This window comes from Homo sapiens, chromosome 11 (assembly GCF_000001405.40).
Source record: "Homo sapiens chromosome 11, GRCh38.p14 Primary Assembly".
Lineage (NCBI taxonomy): Eukaryota > Metazoa > Chordata > Mammalia > Primates > Hominidae > Homo > Homo sapiens.
In genome coordinates, this window is record NC_000011.10 from 59,755,796 (window position 1) to 59,775,710 (window position 19,915).

Here is a 19,915-nt window from a genome sequence, read left to right on the forward strand (position 1 = left end):
CTCCCCTGCGGGGTCATGTGCCCGGTGATTCATCGCTAGGCAATGATTTTCCTGAACGCCTCTAACTCTCCCACCCCGCAAGCTGGACAGTGTCTGTCCAGAGCTGGTTCCCGAAGCGGGTGCTTGGGCCCGGGAGGTCAGGGGTCCCTTCACCACCTGCCCACTGCTGCCTGGCACTATGCCCAGGACCAGCCTCCTTCTCCCTTTCCTGTTTCTCTCCTGAGGTGCTACAGGCCTGGCTGCCCCTTCCCCCAGGGAGCAGCTCAGAGCTCTCTGGTGACCTCTGGAGCTGTGAGCCGGTCACATGCTGGGATGGGTCAGCTCCTCTCCAACCGGTGGTCTGTAATTGTTATCCCCGGGTGTCATTGTCCCCCCCTCCCCCGCCGTATCTTTTGGAACAGCTGTGGTTAGGTCAAAGGATCTGAAGGTAGACTACCTCCAGCCTTGGCTGCGCAAAAGCTGTAAAGCCTTAGGTTACTTACTGTGAGTCTCTGTTTCCTTATCTATCAAATGGGAATGATCATACCCTAGGAATTTGTTGGGAGGATCAGCTGATACAATGGAACTTGATACAGAAAAGGGTTAACGCATAGGGTTTTAAGCCAGATATTCATTGACTCATTCAGTACATAATTATTGAGTGTATTCTATGGGGAGGTCCAGTGCTAAGCCTTGGAGATTCAGTGGCACAGGTTCTACCTTAATAGAATTAAAATCTAGCCCTTGACACTCAAGAGTTTAGTCCATCTACTTTGGAGCTTGTTACAAGTGTAGCAGCTTAGGCCTGAGTCTAGCCCCGCAGAATCAGAATCTAATTATTCATCCATTTCCCCAGGTGATTCATGGGCACATTACAGTTTGGGAAGCACTGGACTGGATTAGAACTGGGGTTGTCTCCTGGCTCCACTGCTTACTGGTGATCCCTTAAAATCCCAGCCTAAGTTTTGTCATTTGTAAAATGGGTAGTTGTAAGGTCGAAATGCAACAGAAGATGCTTAAGAACACTTTTAGGGTGCATGGCACGGGGGACTTAATAAATGGTGAAATATGCTAATAACTGTGAGTGCTCTTGGGAAAATGCAGATGTCAGGGACTGCTGGGATGATGTTACAAGAGTTTATCCTTTTTCTCCCTTGCTTGGATGAGACCTTCATTCCTGTTTCACCTGTTCTGTGTAGCAGGGCTGCGGAGGAGGCAGGTAGCTGGGGAAGTGAGAGAAGCAAAGGGACAGTTGCCTATTGTGGGAGTGGCCTCTCTGCCTCAGGCTTGTGCTTAGTCATCTCAGCCTCACAGCGTCCAGGTTACTGATGGGGCAGAATTTATTGCCCCTGTTTTTATAGATGGGGAAACTGCTGCTCACGGGGTAGGAGGGATGCTCCAGGACACAGAGCCGGCCAGGGCACCACCAGGAGAGGAACCCAGGCTCTTGACACTCTCCACAGTGCTCCTTCCCTTGAAGCACGCTGGTTGGGGAGGCAGAAGGAAAAGAAGAGCACGATTTTGAAGATCTCTCTGTGTCGGCACACCCAGCAACCATAAAAAAGTACAAAACTGAACAGCAGGCTCTTCCATTTATTAGGAAATCCACTTCCAGAGGAAGATACTCCATGGCCCCTTTCAGTAGCTCATTGTCAACAATGAGCAAAGAGTCTTAACTGAGCTTTGAGTTCCAAGAATAAATTTAATTTGCCTGGGGACGCTGAGCAAGTCTCTTTGCCTCTCCTCGGTGCCTCATGGTTACCCTCTGTACAATGGAATTAATGATAGGTTTCCTCCCCTTCCCTCTTGGGGATGTGGTGAAAGTGAGACTGGAGATGGTGGTGGTATTATGGGAGGATTGTTCTGAAATCACAGGGTGGCTTCTGTAGCGTCTTGGAGCAGATGCATGGCAGCGTGGGACAAAGGGACACAGGTGGCAGGTTCCAAGACTGATCACTGTGCTTCTTTGCGTCACTTCTCTGCTTCTCAATTCCTCCTTTATACAACAAAGAATTGAGTTGATCTCAGAAGCCCCCTCTGGCGTTATTATAGGTTTTTCTTTGAAGACTGTTAAGGTTTATGTGGATTTTGGTGTCAGTTCACCTCCTCTTATCCCCTCTCCCCAGCCAGACTCCCAGGGATCACCCTCACTGAAACAAGATATGCGTCTTCTCCCTCTGATTTCCGTTATCAATTAGAAGCGTTTGTTAACCTGCATGAAACAAATTGCACATTGAGCAGCCTATGCAATCTCTTTCTGTGGTGTTCTTTCTAAATCCTGGGGAGGGGAGGTGGTAACTGCCTCCCGATAACTGGAGGGCTTTCCGTGCCTGTGATTGACTTTGTTCTGGGTAGATACAAAGAGAACATGTGGGGTTGATGGGTAGAAATGAGGAATCTGTAAGAAAGCGTTTTTAGTAGACAGAGCTGCCCAAGGATGGAGTAGATGGTGCACCCTCCAGCATGGGAAGGAAGCAAGAAGCTTGTTGGGATTTTGAATGTTGTAGGAATTTGAGCATCTCTTGGAGGGGAGGTGAACTAGGAGATATAAGGCCTTCACCAACCTTAAGAATGTGTGGTTTTATAAAATGCTTAATTGTGAGCCTGTCCTGAGGCTTTGAAGTCTACAGGGACTGAGGCCTCAAGAGTTGCCCCTGTAAAGTGGCTCATCACCCTTTTCCCATAGGATCATTGTGAGGATAAAATGAGATAATCCGTGACAATCACCCACCACTGTTATTGTTAGTTCCTCTGTCTTGGCCTGCTGGCAACAGCGTCCACACAGAAGGGCATCCCTTCCTGAGGCCATGGTCACAAGATCTGACTCACCTGGTCTCATCTCATCTCTTCTCTTGCACTGCTCTTCCTGGTGGGCTCCCTCGACAGCCTGCTTTTTCAGTGACACAGGACAGGCTTGCCAAGAATGTGCAGTGCCTCTACCCAGCCTATCCCAGGACATGGTTTTCTCTGACTTCTCAGCAGCTGAACTTTGAATCTGCTGAGTCCAGACAGTTCCATGCTTTTGCATGGCCCTGTTTTCATTCAGCAAACATTTGCTGAGTACTGAGTACCCACTGTGTGCCAGTCCTTGTACTAGATGCTGGAGTGTAATGGTGATAAACGCATGTTCCTGGCCCTTAGAAAGTTCATGGTCAGGTAGGAAGAAACAGAAGAAATAGACATGAGGATATCATCCTTGTGATAGAAGCAACCACAGGAAGACCCTGTTGGCCAGTCTTTGGAAGATGGGAGATGGGCATGAGGCTTTGGGTGGGTTCCCAAGAAGTAGTAATGCTTGAGCTCAGCTGATTCTTCCAGCCCAATCTGACCTTTTCAGATATGTAAAGGTGGTTGGAGATACATAAGTTACTTTACGTACCAGATAAGTAAAGAGACCTTGTATCTAATCCTCTCAACCCTGCAAAGCAGAGTGGGTTTTTCTATTATTCTCATTCTGCAAGTGAGTGAATTGAGGCTTAACAAGAAAGGCAAGGATCCTAGATTGTCTTAATCACTCTCGCATTGGTGTATAAACCATCAAGCATATAAACAACTCAAGGGAGCATCAGCAGGGTCGCATGTGCATGGTACCTGCTGACCACCATGATCAGAGCTTTGTGACCTCTGTGTGCCTAGCATCCTGCTGGGCGTCAAGTTTAGGCAGGATTGACAAAGTCCTAGTATCAAAGGGTAAATGATCACATAGGGAAGACAAAGACATGTAGTATATGACAAGAGGGCCAACAGTAATCAAAGCCATATGGTGGTAATGGAGAAGCCAGTGATGTATGGAATAGAGGTTGAAGGCTTTGGACTCCCTTGGAGACGGATCTGTAGAGGACTGGAAATGACGTGGATGTAATGGCCCTTCAAAGACCAGCACTAATAAGGACACACTAATGAAATCAACCACCTGGGGCTCTAAAGGCCAGACTAACTTTTTACTCTCTCTGTGTCTTGCTGCTTCCTAAATGGCTGTTATTGGCCTCCTTCCCCACTGGAAGCTCCAGGATCTTTGTGGAATCATAGTTCCTTAGGATAACATTATAACCCCATCAGCAACATGGAGCTGTGTACTTCTCCTTTAAAGCTTAATTTGTTAATAAATATTTATCGAGCCGCTTTTATGTGCCAGGTGCTTTGGATCATAACTGAACCTTAACATACCAATCTGCGCTTCACTGAGATTCTGTCTTTCTCTAGTCATAAAATTTCATTCAAGTCAGGATTCCTGCCTCCCCTCTTCTCTGTACCTGGGAGGATTCATTCTCTGGAAGAGCTGTTTTTCTGTGAGCAGACGGGAACCAGAGCTGAGAGTGATGGGGATTGAGTAGGGATTACAGCCCCATCAGCCGGAGGCCAGAAAATGCTTGGATGAGAGAAGAGGATTAATTTTATTTTTATTCCTGTGAGTGTGGGGGAAGTCGGGGGAATTGGCAGGAGCTAAGGGAGGGACACTTGTTCATGTTGTCCTCTCTCTCTTCCAAAGCTTCCTCCCTGCCTTTTGTCAAAATTTCTACCCATCTTCCAAAACTCATTTTTTATAGGTAGTAGTGTTCTGTAACTGCAACTTAGAATACTCTCCTCCATTCTTGCAGCTCTCACGGGGTGCATGTTGCTTTGCAGTAGGTTGTGGGTTTTTTTTTTTTGTTTGTTTGTTTTGTTTTTTTAATTACCATGGAGTGGGTTTGAAACCACTGTCCGTTGCTTTTTATAAGTTAGACCCTTTATCCCCTTTATCTTCTAGGTCCTTTTGTCTTTAAGGTCAGTGTTTCTAGTACTTCTTGTCACCACATCAATTACAATAACAACAATCATTTATTGAGCAGCTACTATTGGACAGACTTGTGCTACATACCTTACATACCTTGTCTCTAATTCTCTCAACCCTGCAAAGCAAAGTGGGTTTTTATATTATTCTCATTTACAAGCAAGGAATTGAGATATTATTCTCGTTTTACAAGTGAAGGAATTGAGTCTCAGGTTTGACTGAGATCCCCATCTGGGAAGTGGTGGGCTCAAGAATTGAACGTGTGTGTCTTGCTTCTTCGTATCCCCTTACACTGTATTCGATCATCTCCCTAACTGCACTATATGCCTCTGATGCAACAGCAGTTATGATAGTCCTCTGGAGCCCCAGGGCCTAGCACTCTGCATGGTAAGCCTGTATTAAACATTTGTCTCTTAGTTGATTAATAACAGCTTGACCCTTACACATCCTTTACTCATTATTATGACTTATTTTTCTTGCTCCATTCCCTGTGGGCTGGTGAATCTTTACCTACCTGAAGTGGAACATTTACTGAGGGAATCCATATGTTTGCTAATGAAGCCAGACCTTACAGGTCCATCCCCAAGGACGGAGTTCCAAGGCTCCTAACTACACCTAAACACCTAGCCCAAGATGACATGGAAGGTTGCCCCTATTTAGAAAGACAATGAAGGCGAAGATGTGGCTACCATGGTGAAAACTTAGGTACTCCATTTTTCTCCTGGCAAAATCCTACATATCTCCAAAGTCTCAGTTCCAGTGTCATCCAGCTTCCCAGGCTGACAGCACTGAGCATGCCTTTCCTCGGACCCCGCAAACTTTACTTTTGGTGGTGTATACAAATAGCCACATGGTATTGCAATTTCAGATGCCACTGGCTCTGTTAGTTCTTGTGCTCTGGGAGAGCACAGACCACATATGTCTCATTCTCTCTTATACCTTCCCAGCCCAAAGCCTGTAAAGCTGTAAACCAAACTGTCCTGTCAATGAATGGGGATATTCTGTAAATTTATTTGCCCGCAGATTCTGTAGTCCCTGAGGGGCCTTACCTCCAGCCACCTTTATGTTAGGCCCCTCTGCAACTGCCCCCACCCCATCTCCTCTCTCAGGGTAGCCTGCTTTTTGGCATTGGACCATTTCCATGGCAACTTTCCCCAGTCTCCATCTGGAAACTGAGTGAAGTTCAACCCCCCACCTAAAGAGATTAGTGGAGCAAATACTGTCTGGTTATGTTCAGCTGTCTGGGTTAGGACAGCTCAGTATGGCATCAGGGTTTTTTTTTTTTTAATAAATTTTTAAGTTTTAGCCTACTTTTAGATTTATGGAAAAGTTGCAAAGATAGTACAGAGAGTTCCTGTCTAGTCCTCTCCTGGTTCCCTCACTTGGTCTCATTTTATACTACAGTGTACACTTAGCAAAACTAAGAGACTTATATTGGTACATTACTATTCACCCAACTCCATACTTTATTTGGATTTCACTAGTTGTTCCACTAATGTCCTCTTTCTGTTCTAGGATGCGATCCAGGACACCACATTGCATTCGGTTGTCACATCTCCTTAGCTTCCTCTGGCCTGTCTGACAATTGCTTAGTCTCTTGTTTTTTGTGACCTTGGCGGCAGGGCTCCGGCATCTGTTTTCTAGTGCTCTGGAAGCACATTTCCTGTGGCCAGTGCTACATGCTACAGCTAGGGTGGTGGTGGAGCAGCCGTTAAGAGGCAACACTCCAGATGGCTGAGGACAAAGTCCCGGCAGCCAGCTGCCCAGGCACCCCTCCTAGCTCAGGTGCCCACTGTCTGCAGGATCTTGGTCAGGTTGCTTGGTGTCTTTATGCATTAGTTTTCTCAGCTGTAAGATGGGGAATATCCCCAGAAGACTGGCCTAGGGATTAACTGTCATGGTCAATAGAAAGCACACATCTTAGAAGGATCCTCACTCAGCACATGTTGAGTGTTTAATGAAGGTTGCGCGTTGTCACTGTTATTTAAGTATTCTAGAATGACCATGAGGGAGAGGAAGCTTGTGGGACAGAGGCTGAAAGGAGGGGTTGGGGAGAAGGCTGAGGATGGAGTAAGACAGTATTAGTTCCTTTCTTCCTCCTCTCTGTGTCCTTGAGAACTGAATGCCATGGTGGTGTCCAGAGGCCAGGACAGGAGACAGGGGAAGGGAGTGGAAGAGAGGGAAGAAGTGTGGGGTGGAGGAGGAAGGATCTAAAGGACACCTGAGATCTCCAGGAGGAAGAAGAAGGCCTTCTTTGAATCTCCTTGAATGGCTCCTGGGATGAGAAAGAAAGCAGGAAGAAGGTCTGATCTCCTCACCCTGAGTGGCCTTCTTGTAGGTTTCATTTGGGTAAATCCACACATTCCACAAAATTTCTCCAAGGAGTCACTTCTGCCAACATTCTCTAATAAGCTTCCATCTTCCCCAGGCTCAACCTTGAATTCAGGCAAGGTTGGGCACTGCGTCTTCTCTTGGGTGTGTAATTCCTTGGGCTAAAGCACTGTCCTCACGTGTCATGTGGTATTGTATCGCATGGACTGTTGCTTGGCAGATGTTAGATGTGCAATAAATACTGCCGGATGAAAGAATGAACAAATGAATCTGTTACTTTGCATGGAACATTGTGGCTGTGCTGATGGGTGATGAGACCTTGAGATGCCTCTCTGAGTTAATGAAGGAGTGAACATTGGATTAGACCACCCAGGTTTCTAATCTTGGCTGTGTTCCTTACTGTGTGATTCTGGATGAATTAACCTTCCTAGCCACAGATTCCTTGTTAGTGTACATAACATCTACCTAGAGGGCCTTTTCCCCCTCTTCTTCCTTTCTTGGGAGTTTTTGTCTTTCTTGTCTAGACCCACCTCAGGTCTGGAGAAGCAAAAGCAGGTAGGATGGCATGTGAGGATTGGACTTCAATGATTTTTGTATCCGACAAGCAGAATGCAAGTTCTTTTGAAATACGCATAGAAGATTAAGAAATACCATGTATTAAGACACAAAGAAAATGCCAAATCTCACAGAATAAAAGTCATATAGGCCGTTTCCTAACAGTGATACAATTAGAAATTAATACAATAATTGTCCTCCCCAGGCTAATCCATATTGGAAATGTAAGAACGCCTTTCTAAATAACTCTTGGGCTAAAGATAAATCAAAGTAGAAATGACAAACTATTTAGAAATAAATGATCGGCCGGGCGCGGTGGCTCATGCCTATAATCCTAGCACTTTGGGAGGCCGAGGCAGGTGGATCACCTGAGGTTGGGAGTTCAAGACCATCCTGGCCAACATGGCGGAAACCCTGTCTCTACTAAAAATACAAAATTAGCAGGGCATGGTGGCGCATGCCTGTAATCCCAGCTACTTGGGAGACTGAGGCAGGAGAATCACTTGAACCCGGGAGGTGGAGGTTGCAATGAGCCAAGATCAAGCCATTGCACTCCAGCCTGGGCAACAAGAGCGAAACTCCGTCTCAAAAAAAAAAAAATAAAAGGAATGATCACAAGAGCGGTAAATATCAAAATTTGGGAGAAGTAGTGGAAGAAGAATTGAGAGGGAGCTCTGTTTCTTTAAAAGCATATAGTAGAAAAATGACAGATTTAAAGCACATGAGGTAAATGCCAATGAATACATGAAATTCTCTCCTCCTGAGACATCTAGTGTCACCATCTAAGAATTGGCATTAGAATTGCATCTTTGCCAGAAACTCTTAGCAAAAACAAGGCCCAATTTTCTGCTTTAGATAACATGATCTTGGGCATTTAATATGTGCCTAGCATTGCTCTAAACATGTCTCCTGTGGTACTGATTTAATCCTTGCAACAATTCTATGAGCAGATTATTCTTGTCATGTCACAAATGAAGAAACTGAGGCACAGAGAAGTTAAGTAATCTGTTTAAGACCATATAGCTATTAAATGGTAGAGCCAGGTTTTCAACTCTGTATCTCTGTAGAGGTACAGAGATACATCTGACTGCCTGAGTTGGATTATATACACTGGTATCTTTTTCACTCATGCATATAGGTTAATCCAACTTAGTTTTATGGATGTTGTGGTATCCCCTGAAATAAGCGAGAGCGTGTTCACTGAGCCTGAGTGGGGAGGATGCCTTCAAGTGTGTGTAGTGGGGAACAGCAGAAGCCCTGGGCTCCCACAGACTTGCCTGTGAGTCCTAATGAGGTCGTTTATTAGCTGAATCATTTTGGATGAATTATTTAATTAAGCAGTTGTCTTATCTGGAAATGGGGAAAGTAATATTTGTCCCTCAGAGGGTTGATGTGAGAATTAATACATTTGAAACCACAAAAGTGCCTGCAACAACACACACACACATTATCTATTATTATTATTATTATTATTATTATTATTATTATTGTTAGGGCACACTGAGTGGAGTGGGGTCCTCAGGGACCTTGGCTCTTGTCCAGTTGTCCACTGGCTCACTGGCCTTGGGCTCACTGATAGGATTTATTCTGCAGTGTCTTCATCTTTCAAATAGGGCTAATTCTTTCCTCAAGTTGTTCAGCTAGGGCTTTCTTCAAAGTAAAAGCATGAGGCTCACTTAGGATATCATTATCTGTCAATCTCCTCTTGATTTCATCTGATGAGTGTGTTGGGGAAGATGGAATTAAGTGAAAAGGGGAAGTGTGCCCTCTGGGAGGGTTTCACTGGAAGAGAAATCACAGCTTAGTGAGAGAACTGGGCACTGGAGAAGAGTCATTTGACTCTTCACATAGGAAACAGAGAGCATGGAGTGCCTGTTGAGAACCTACACTCAGAATTTCTGGCTCTTTAAAGAAGAGGGACTGGAAAGACCAGATGTTGGGCAGTGTGCACATGGGTGTGTGTATGTGTCTGTGTGTGTCTGTGTAACCTTTGTAAGTGGTGGTGTTTGTCTTTAGGAATCCCCAGACCCTCATTTGGAGGGAGGCAGTTGGGAGAAGTGGGTAGCAAGGACAAGAAAAACCAGGAGTCAGGCTGGGTGCGGTGGCTCATGCGTGTAATCCCAGCACTTTGGGAGACCGAGGAGGGTGGATCACACAAGGTCAGGAGTCCAAGACCAGCCTGAGCTACATGGTGAAACCCTGTCTCTACTAAAAATAGAAAAATTAGCTGGGTGTGGTGGTGTGCGCCTGTAATCCCAGCTATTTGGAAGGCTGAGGCAGGAGAATCACTTGAACACAGGAGGCAGAGGCTGCAGTGAGCCGAGATTGCACCACCGTACTCCAGCCTGGAAGATAGAGCAAGACTCTGTCTCAAACAAACAAACAAACAAACAAAACAAACAAAACCCAGGTGTGTCATTGTTTCTTTGAGTTAAATTTATTGGGAGATAATCTGGATTTATAAAGAAGCATCTGTGTCTCCAGAGAAATAATTGTTTAAATTTGGAGAAGAGAAGGTGCAAGAATTTGTACTCGCTTGGTTGTGCCAGGAGGGGTGCTGCCCCACCGGCCCACAAATCTTTAATGCCCCACTGTGGGAAGTTAAGGACCAGATATACCCTTTCCCCTCTGTTATTTCTTTGACCCAGAAACTTTCCTGGGGGCTCCTGGGCTTTCTGCCTTGTCCTGGGACCCTTTTGTCTGCCTGGGGTCTGGCACCTGTGGCAGGAAGAGAATCAGAGCTGGTGAACACTGTGCTCTTCATCTGGGATGACTTCCTTTTTCTTTGTCTCATTCTGCCTTGCTGCTCTGATTTGTAAACATTCTTAAGGAGATACTGATGATTTAAACTTACGTTGCAGATGTGTTTTAACTTGGAAAGGAGGGACAAACTCTTTTTAGAAAGCACTTGTTCATCTATTTCTGTGATTTTCCAACTTTTTTTCTTTCTTTTGTGACAGTAGGACTCTTTCTTAAAATGAAATCTTATATTGAATCCCAGTGTATAAAGCAGATAAAAGTAAAGCTCTGTAGATTGAAGAGGGGGTGAGGCTCAGGACAGCTACGTCCCCCCATTGGCTCCCCACTCCCTGAGTACCCTGAGTGGGGTTTCTGAGGCACATGTGAAGTTTCCTGGGTTTCCGCAAATCTGCACTGGAAAGCCAAGCCCCTCCTTAATTGATGAGAAAGGCTTAATGGAAACAAATGTTGTCCCCAAAGGGCCACAGCTCCACTTTCTCAGCCCAGGATGCTTTCTGCAGGGTTGGGCTGCTTAGCTTCTGGGCCCCAGCTGCTCTCAGTGACAGGCTGCCCTGAGCAGCGTGCAGTGCGATAAGAAGGGCTTAGGACAGATGACTTAAGCTTGAGCCCTGTTTCGGCAAATCAGTAGCTGGGAGACCTTGAATAACTTACACCTTCTCTGACCTGCATGTTCTCAACTACATACTGCAGATGGGATTCGTTGACATGGTGTACACAAAGCAGCTAGTGTCTTGTGGCCACCTAGCACCTACTAGGGGCTCTATGGGGTTGCAAATATTTTTATAAATTATATGAGCTAATGAAGAGAGGAACCTGTGGTCAGATAGACTAACAATGATAGAGAAGGCAGTTGAGACAAAGACACTGAGCCTTGAGAGAGAGGAATTGCAGTTCAGTTGCTTGAGGTTGCATTCTGGGCCTCTGAACTCTTTCTACTTTCTGTCCAGAGAGGAGGTCATAACCCTGGCTGTCCTTTCTGGATTTGGGGGCACACTTGAGGGGTAGGGTCGGGGGAGATAGATCCCAGGTTGGAGTTCAGTGTTGCCTAAGTCATTGGTGATATCTCTCATCTCCTTGGGCGAGAGGCATCTGGAGGTTGGGGAGGGGAGGAAGTTGATGGCTGGGCTTGTGGTTCACTTGTGTTTTTTATTGTGGCTGATATTGCAGCTACTGTAATGTTCCTATTACCAGATATGTTGATTCTTTGATAAAGATGCTGAAGTTCTCTTCTTGGCTAAGCTCAGTCATGTGGGCTGAAGATAAGGGCATTGTGTGCTTTCCTTGCCCTTGGGTTCTGATGCCTCTAGATCTGCAAGAGAGCACATGTGTGTCAGAAGGGCAGGAGCCCTTACCCTGAGATTGGTTGAGCTTGCTCTGTAGGGAAGCCTGCTGCTAGCTCCAGTTTCATGTGACTCCAGATAACATGCGATGATGGCCTCTTCCTTGAGTTTTCTGATCTGGACCAAACTTTGTTGTTGTTATTTTGTATTTTTGGAAGTGGCATGCTACAGTGGGAAAAACTCTGCATGGGAAAATGGAAATCCAGAAACCTGGGTTCTATTCCTTTCTGTGTCAGTAACTCATTATTTCATTTTGGGCCTTGGTTTCCCCCTGGTTTCTGTCCAGACCTCCTCTCTGGACAGAAAGTGAAAAGAGTTCAGGGACCCAGAATTCAACCTCAACGTTTCCCTTTTTCTAAGTGAGGGGATTTGATGGTAAAATCTTTAACATTGCATTCAGCTCTGAAAGTCCTGTATCTAAAGATACTCATATCCAGGTCAAAGCTGTAGAGAAGTTGACTTGGCCAGATCTTATGTATGGTTGCTTTATTGAGTTCTTACTGTGTGCTCTACATTGCATAGGGAACTTTAAAATATTATCATATTGAATTCTCACAGCATCCCTGGCAGATAGCATATATTTTTTATAGAAGAAGGAGGCAGGGAAGAGGGGTGGATTTTGCAGGGATTCTCTCTGTTGCAGTAAAACCAAAGAGTACGTTTTGGCAGTGCTGGTAGGCATGCAGTCACATTGCATGTGACAGGCAGATTCAGTCAGTTGATATCAACTTCAACTTTCTAGGTGCCCAGCCTTGTGTCAGGTGCCCAGGAGATACTAGTAACACTTACGAGATACTATCCCTGACTTCAGGTTGGTTAAAATTGAGCTTGAAGTTGAGACTGCAACTCATTAAACTATTTGATAAACATGAAGTGGGGCAAGTTTTGTGGGAGAAATGGGCCCTGTGTTTGAATAGCAGAGGAGTATATGAATATTGGTTGTGATTGGGAATAAGGGGACATAGTGCTAATATGACTATTGATGGTGGTTGGGAATGAGGGGGCATGGTATTAAGAAAGCCCAGGAGCAGGAAGCAATGGGATGTGTGCAGAAGACATGAGGAGATCAAGTTGATGAGCAGAAGGTGTCTGGGGGAGAATAGTGGGAATATAGCTAAACGCATAAATACGGTCAGCTTCCAAAGGGTTATGACAGACAGGCTGAGGACTTTTATACAGTAAGTAATAGGGAACCATCATGTATTGGGAAACAGGGACATAATGGGATTGGACCAGAGAGATAATGGAGGTGGGTATGGGCAGGAGACTGTTGTAATGGTACAGGGTCTGCTACTCAAGCAAGGTCCAAAAATACTCTATTATTACTATTTTATAGATGAGGAAATTGAGGCTCAGAGATGTGTTACATGTGTGTAACTTTACAGGGAGGTAGCAGTGTGGTTTTGTTACATGGCTCTATTGCATAGTAGTGAGGTCTGGGCTTTTAGTGTATCCATCATCCAAATAGTATACATTGTATCCATTAAGTAATTTCTTGTCATCTACTCCCCTGCACACATGTATTGGGAAACAGGGACACATACATTTCTTTATCCAATCATCCATTGATGGATACTTAGGTTGATTCCATATTTTTGAGGCTCAGAGGGGTTAAACCATCTGTTTAATGTTCAGTGAGTAGCATGTGATGGACCGTGGTATAGAGCCCTGGCCATTATGTTGCCATGGAGCCGATCTTACTGACTTAGCCTTTAGTTTGAGAACTTCCTGTGGAGGAGGAGGAGGAGGAGGAGGATGAGGATGGGTGCGGACAGTGATGACTCACAGGGGATTCTGCTCATGTAGACCCACATCTTTTCAGCGGGGCAGCGGGGTTAGGCGCTGATGTATGCCTGGTATTGTGCTTTCCATATGTGATCTCGTTCAGTCCTCATAAAGGTCATAAGGTCTGTGGGGGTATTACTACTTACAGGTTGGAAACTCAGAGAGGTTTGGGACTTGACTGAGGCATCCCAGCCAGTAATTGGAAACAGCAGGTTTTGGATCTAGGTTTCTCTTTGCCCGTTTCACAGATTCTCACTGAAGGCGACCAGGCTGCCTGGCTACATCTGCACAAAGCTAAGAAGTAGCCATTGTGGATGTGGGGAATCCCTGTGTGGATACTAGGGGTCTCAAGAACTTACGTCATGATGGAGTGATAAGTGTCTGCCTCCCATGCTCCAGGTCACAGTTGTTCCCAGCTTCTGGAAACTTCCTTTAATCCATCCCATGATGGTAGCCTCTTCCCATTTCCTTAACACGTGTTTGAAGACTGAATTGATGTCTTATAGTGTACACGTGTGTGTGTGTGTGTGTGTGTATGTATGTGTTTGTGTGGGGGGGGAAGGTGTGTGGGTGTATGTTTGGAGGGGATGTGTTGGAGTGTGGGTGTATGTGTGTAGTGGGGTGTGGGTTGTGGGTGTCGGTGTGTGGGAGCTTGCAGATGTGTGTGGGAGGGTTATGAGTGTGTGTGGGTGTATGTGTGGAGTGTGTGTGTGTGGGATGTGTGTGTATGTGGAATGGGTGTGGGCATATGTGTAGAGTGGGTGTTGGGTGTTTGTGTATGTGGAATGGGTGTGGGTGTATGTGTGGAGTGTGTACGTGTGCAGCATGTGTGTATAGGGTGTGCGTGTAAGGGGTGTGTGTGTGTGCTGTATGTGTATGAAAGGTATATGAAGAGGTGGGGTGTATGTGTGTAATGTACGTGTGTAGGGTGTGTGTATGTGGAGTGTATGTGGGTGGGTATATGTGTGGAGTGTATGTGTGTAGGGTGTGTGTTTATATGTAGCGTGTGTGTATATGGGGTGTGGGTGGGCGGGTGTATGTGTGGAGTGTGTGTATGTATAGGGTGTGTGTGTCTGTGAGGAGTGTGTGTGTGTGGGTATATGTATGTATACAGATATACTTGAGGTCTGTCCCCTCAGTCATTCTCTAGATGACTCTGAAGAAAGGATACTCCCTAAAAAGCTTATTGACTCACTCTCCTAGAGGAAGACCGGGTCACAGTGAACCTCTTGGGAGCTGGAACTCTCTAGAGGTTGCTGAGGGGCCTGAGAGTTGATGATACTTGATGAAGGGAACATTTTGTCTCAAACTTTAAAAACTGGTGGTGAATCCTGGCTGCTAGTCTTTGTGGAAGCTAGTTATTTATTCAGCTAAAATTGGTTAAATTTCTATTATATGCCTGGTTACAGGGTGAGCGCTCAGGAAATGTGGAATAAATTAATTAATGACAAGTACAGTGCTCAGTTTTAATTGCAAGTGACAAAACTCAAGTCTGGCTAAATGAACTTAAAAAAGACATATTAGGAGGATACTGTTCAACTCATTGAAAGAAGACTAGGGAAGATCTGTAGAACCTGCCCAAAGCCAAGGGGTGTTGTGGGAAGCATGGGAATGAGGGCAGCTCTGGGAATTTCATGGACATCTCTGGGGGCAGCCATCAACTGACTCGGGCCCATTCACTTCAGACTCCTTTCACAATTCAGATTCCTCAGGGAGCCTGGGTCACGGTTGATCGACTCCCCCAAATCATGTGGAGGGCGTGAGGGGTTGCTCCACAGAGGAAGGTGTTTCGAGCAGACACAGACACACATACAAGTATCCACTTCGGCTGGGTGCAGTGGCTCAGAGCTATAATCCCAGCACGTTGGGAAGCTGAGGCGGGTGGATTACTTGAGGCCAGGATTTTGAGACCAGCTTGGGGCCTGGTGGTGCATGCCTGCAGTCCTAGCTATTTGGGAGGCTGAGGCAGGAGGATCACTTAGGCCCAGGAGGTTGAAGGTGGGGTGAGCTGTAATTGCGCCATTGCATTCCAGCCTGGGCAACAGAGTGAGTCTTCCTGCATAAATTTGCCCCCCGTCCCCCCACCTCCCCCCCCCCGCCCGCCCACAGAATCTCCAGGAGTTTGTAGTCAGTGGGGAAAGACAGGTGAGTAAAGGGCTGTGATGGTTGGTGTCGAAAGTTTGTGCAAAGTGCAGTGGGAGCTTAGGGAGGTTTTAACTTTTGCATGCGGGAGCCATGCCCAGGTCAGGCATACAGAGGTTGTCCGAGCTGAGTTTTAAGGGCTAAGGAAATGTTTGTCAGTTGGACCAATGCCTTTCAGCAGAACTCCCTGTGTGATAGAGTGATCTAAAAGAATGGTGTGTCCAGGGAATGGTGTGTCCAACTGCTTGCTTGGTCTAGAGTGTGCATCATAGAAGGAGAAGTATGGGTGGAGCTGGATCTTAAAGGGCCCCACGTGCTCTGTTAGGCACTGGGCCTTTAAATTATAGGAGCTAAGCTATCATTGGATGATGTTACGTGGCAGAAGGACATGATCAGTTCTGAGTTTAGGGAAGTTGATCGGGGAGGTGGTAGCAGTGCCCTCAAATTCGACTCCCTTGAATGTGGCTATTAACCTGGGGATGCTGATTGTTGCAGACCAGCCAGAGAATGAGATGCTGGGGGAGCCAATCAAGAGACTGTCCACATGGCTGGAGAATCCCAAATAGCCATAGGATTTCCCAGTAACAACTTCTGCCGTGGATTCAGGGGGATGGTCGTGGGTGAAGGAAAGAGGCTTCTGGTGGCATTCATTGCCCATGGAATTCTAAGTGTTCGAGAGTGCTATATCTTGGACTTAGAGGGTCAGAGGCTGATGAAGCTTGTGAAGAAGCAGGTGTGGGGGGTTTATCCCCTGCCTCACCTCCACCTTTCACAACAGTCAGTTCTCTGTGCTTAGAAATCAGCAATGTGCTGTGCAGCAGCTGTCTGGGAAGAACATTGAACAGGAATGTAGAAACAGCTCAGGCCCTTATGCTGGGTGGGAATGGAATCACTTCCTTTAGATGGCCATTTTGTGAATTTTTACAGAGGAAGTTGAATGAGATTGAGAAAGCTTGGGTCCCCAGAGGTGGCTGGGGGCCGGGGGAGAGCTTCCTCTTTCTTATAAACAGGAGCTTCTGACAGGGAGTGACATAGCATTGTTTCCTTTGTGATAGGTGGTTTCTGAAAACAGGAAAATCTTTACTCCTAATGTGAAAATTGAAAGCTTGTCCTTTGTAGGAATTGTGTCTGGAACCTGTTTGAACAGCATGGAGAAGGGTTTAGCGACCCTGGGGTTCAGATCCAAAAGATAAGTTTGATTCTACCTGTTGCCATGTTTTAGCTGTGTGGTTTTTGCCAAGTTACCTAACCTCCCTAAGTTTTAGGTTCCTCAACTGTAGTGAGTTACAGTAACTACCACCACAACCAACAGCAACAAAACCTAGCATGTGTTGAACTTACAGTGTACCAGGCACCATACAAAAGCATCCTATATTCATTATCTCTTTTATACCTTACACAATCCTATGAAGCAGGTAGTGTTTTTATCAGCATTTAACAGATAAGGAAACCTAGGCACAGCAAGATAGGTAACTTGCCAGTTCCTCCCTTTCTCACCCCTCACCCCCTGAAAGAAACACACACACACACACACACACACACACACACACACACAACCCAGCAATTGGTAGAGCTAGGATTTAATTTCAGATGTTGAGACACCGGAATTTGATATATCAGAGAGCTGTTATGAGTTTTAAAGGAAATTATGTGTAAAATGCTGAATATAGTTCCTAGTACTTCGTGAGCATTCAATAATTTAGCCATTTATTGTGTTTTTAGCCTCACTCTGCTCTTTTTTGCCTTTTGCAGAAGCAGCTGACACAGGATGATGATACTGATGCGGTTGAGATTGCTATCGACAACACGGCTTTTATGGACGAGTTCTTTTCTGAGGTAGGCAACCTTCCTGTATTTTTTTCTAAATGTACATAAGGAAACACTATTTCCTTAGTAAGAATAAAAAACCTTAGATTTTTCAGGGTAGCAGAGGAAGGTCACAGTTTTTTGCTAGGGTGGGATGGCCAGACAAAGAAATTAAAATAACATTATTTTCAATATTTACTTGAATCTGGATTTTTAAAAATCTTAAGAAAGTCAGCAGAGGGTCAATTATATGTAATTGAAGAGATGCTTTTAAAATCTTACTCCGTATGACAACATTTTAATGATATCCTTTCTTGCTTAAAGTACATAACAAATACAGAATCAACCATAGGATCACAACCATGAGTATAAAACATTGCATCTTTAGGCTTGTGATTCAGATACATCAAATGTGTAGTTTTGAAAATTTTGGGGCCAGACATGGTGGCTCACACCTGTAAGCCCAGCACTTTGGGAGGCCAAGGCAGGTGGATCACTTGAGGTCAGGAGTTCAAGAACAACCTGGCCAACATGGCAAAACCCTGCCTCTACTAAAAATACAAAAATTAGCCAGGCACACCTGTAATCCCAGCTACTTGGGAGGCTGAGGCAAAGGAATCACTTGAATCCGGGAGGTGGAGGTTGCAGTGAGCCGAGATCGCACCACTGCACTCCAGCCTGGGTGACAGAGTGAGACTTTGTCTCACACACACAAAAAAAAAAAAAAAAAAAAAAATTATAGTCCCTCTGACTTAATTCTAGTGGTAACTGAGAAACCAAACTGCCAGTTTAGTTTTGTAAAAGTTCAACAGGGGCAAAAATGGGTTCATGTCTACAGATCCATGTACTCTGATCTTAAAGGTCCTCAATGGGATGGTACTATGATAGGTAGGTGGTGGAGGAAAGCTTGTAGAGGCAGTAGTATATCGTGGATGAAAACACTGGCTTTCGAGCTGGGTAAACTTGGGCCCAAATCTCAACCCTGCTTCTGAGAAGCTGTTGATTTCATGAACGTTCCTTAACAATCTGTGTCTGGGCTTCCTTACCTGTAAATTAGGATTGATAATGTAATTTCCCACAGGTGGGATCACCTGAGCCTAGGAGTTTGAGGCTGCAGTGAGCTATGATCATGCCACTGCATTCTAGCCTGGGCAACAGAGTGAGACCTTGTCCCCTAAAAAAAAAAAAAAAAAAAATTCACTGGTGATCCAGTGTTTAGGTAAGAAAAGAAAAAAACAATAAACAACAAAAATCCCCATTGAGTTGCATAAGGATTAAGAGGGACAGGCCAGGCGTGGTGGCTCACGCTTGTAATCCCAGCACTTTGGGGGGCCGAGGTGGGCGGATCACAAGGTCAAGAGTTTGAGACCAGCCTGGCCAACACAGTGAAACCCTGTCTGTACTAAACATACAAATATTAGCTGGGTGTGGTGGTGGGCACCTGTAATCCCAGCTACCCGAGAGGCTGAGGCAGGAGAATCGCTTGAACCCAGGAGGCGTAGGTTGCAGTGAGCCGAGATTGCGCCACTGCACTCCAGCCTGGGTGACAGCGGTAGACTCCGTCTCAAAAACAAACAACAACAACAAAAACCAAGAGGAATAATGTTTGTAACACAGCATAGCATCTGGCATATATGTGCTTAATGAATGATAATTCAAAAAACAAAAACAAAAAGCTCACTATTGTTGAAGTTTCTGCCACCATACTATGGTTTCTTAGGTTTTTAATTTCCCCTGGAAAGAAAACAAGAAGTATCGTGCTCTTTTTGCAGAGAGAATGTGATGCTTCCCATCCTCTAGACTGTGGATGTGGAAAAGTAACCCTCCAGTTTTTTTTCTGAAAGGAATGGAGTGGGGCATGACGGTTCGTGCCCATTTATCTGTTAGAGTAATAAACAGGAATTAAGAATAAACTTGAATGTGTGCTGGCCTGATTGGGAAGTTGGCTGTAAACTCTCCACAGATCCCCACCCTCCTCACAGGCGGGTCCATCAGAGTCATAGTGAGATCAAACAACACTTAGGCTTTGTGAGTCCAGTGTTACTCCAATTGTGGATCGTGGAAGGACAATATCCTTTCACTCCGTGATGGGGGTGGACTTAAGGAGATGTTTGAAGTCTTTCTAGCTCATCTCAGTCTGCCTTGGAGAACCAGATACATTAAAGAACTTCTTCCCTAAGATAAGGAATCTTTTCCAATAACTGTGTTCTCCTTTTTCTTCTGAGCCAGTCAGAGGGTCCCTGAGAGGACCCTCTTTGTTAGGTGTGAAGATGGTGGGCTTTGGCCTCTAAAACATGGTTTGAGTCCACTTTTCAAGCATTTCGTAGCAGTGTAACCTTGGTCAGGTTGCTTAACATCTCTTAGTTTTAATGTCCTGCTCTGGAAATTGGGAGTGTTAGTACTTACCTTTCAAGGATGCCATGAGGATCATATGAGATCACACATC

The 19,915-nt window shown here is 45.4% G+C and overlaps 1 protein-coding gene across 17 annotated transcripts in view; it reads left to right on the forward strand.

Moving 5' to 3' along the window:
- The window catches only part of STX3 (syntaxin 3), a 51,691-nt gene that overhangs the window by 1,608 nt on the left and 30,168 nt on the right, over positions 1-19,915 (forward strand). For 13 of the 17 annotated variants that reach the window (XM_047427501.1, NM_004177.5, NM_001440524.1 and 10 more), the window contains exon 2: positions 17,416-17,499. In XM_047427501.1, coding sequence (XP_047283457.1) covers positions 17,479-17,499 — 21 coding nt within the window. In that variant the 5' untranslated portion in view covers positions 17,416-17,478. Of the gene's footprint in view, positions 1-72; positions 13,972-17,415; positions 17,500-19,915 lie in introns of those variants that run through there. The other 4 variants (XM_017018192.2, XM_017018193.2, XM_017018191.2 and 1 more) reach the window with 2 other exon arrangements.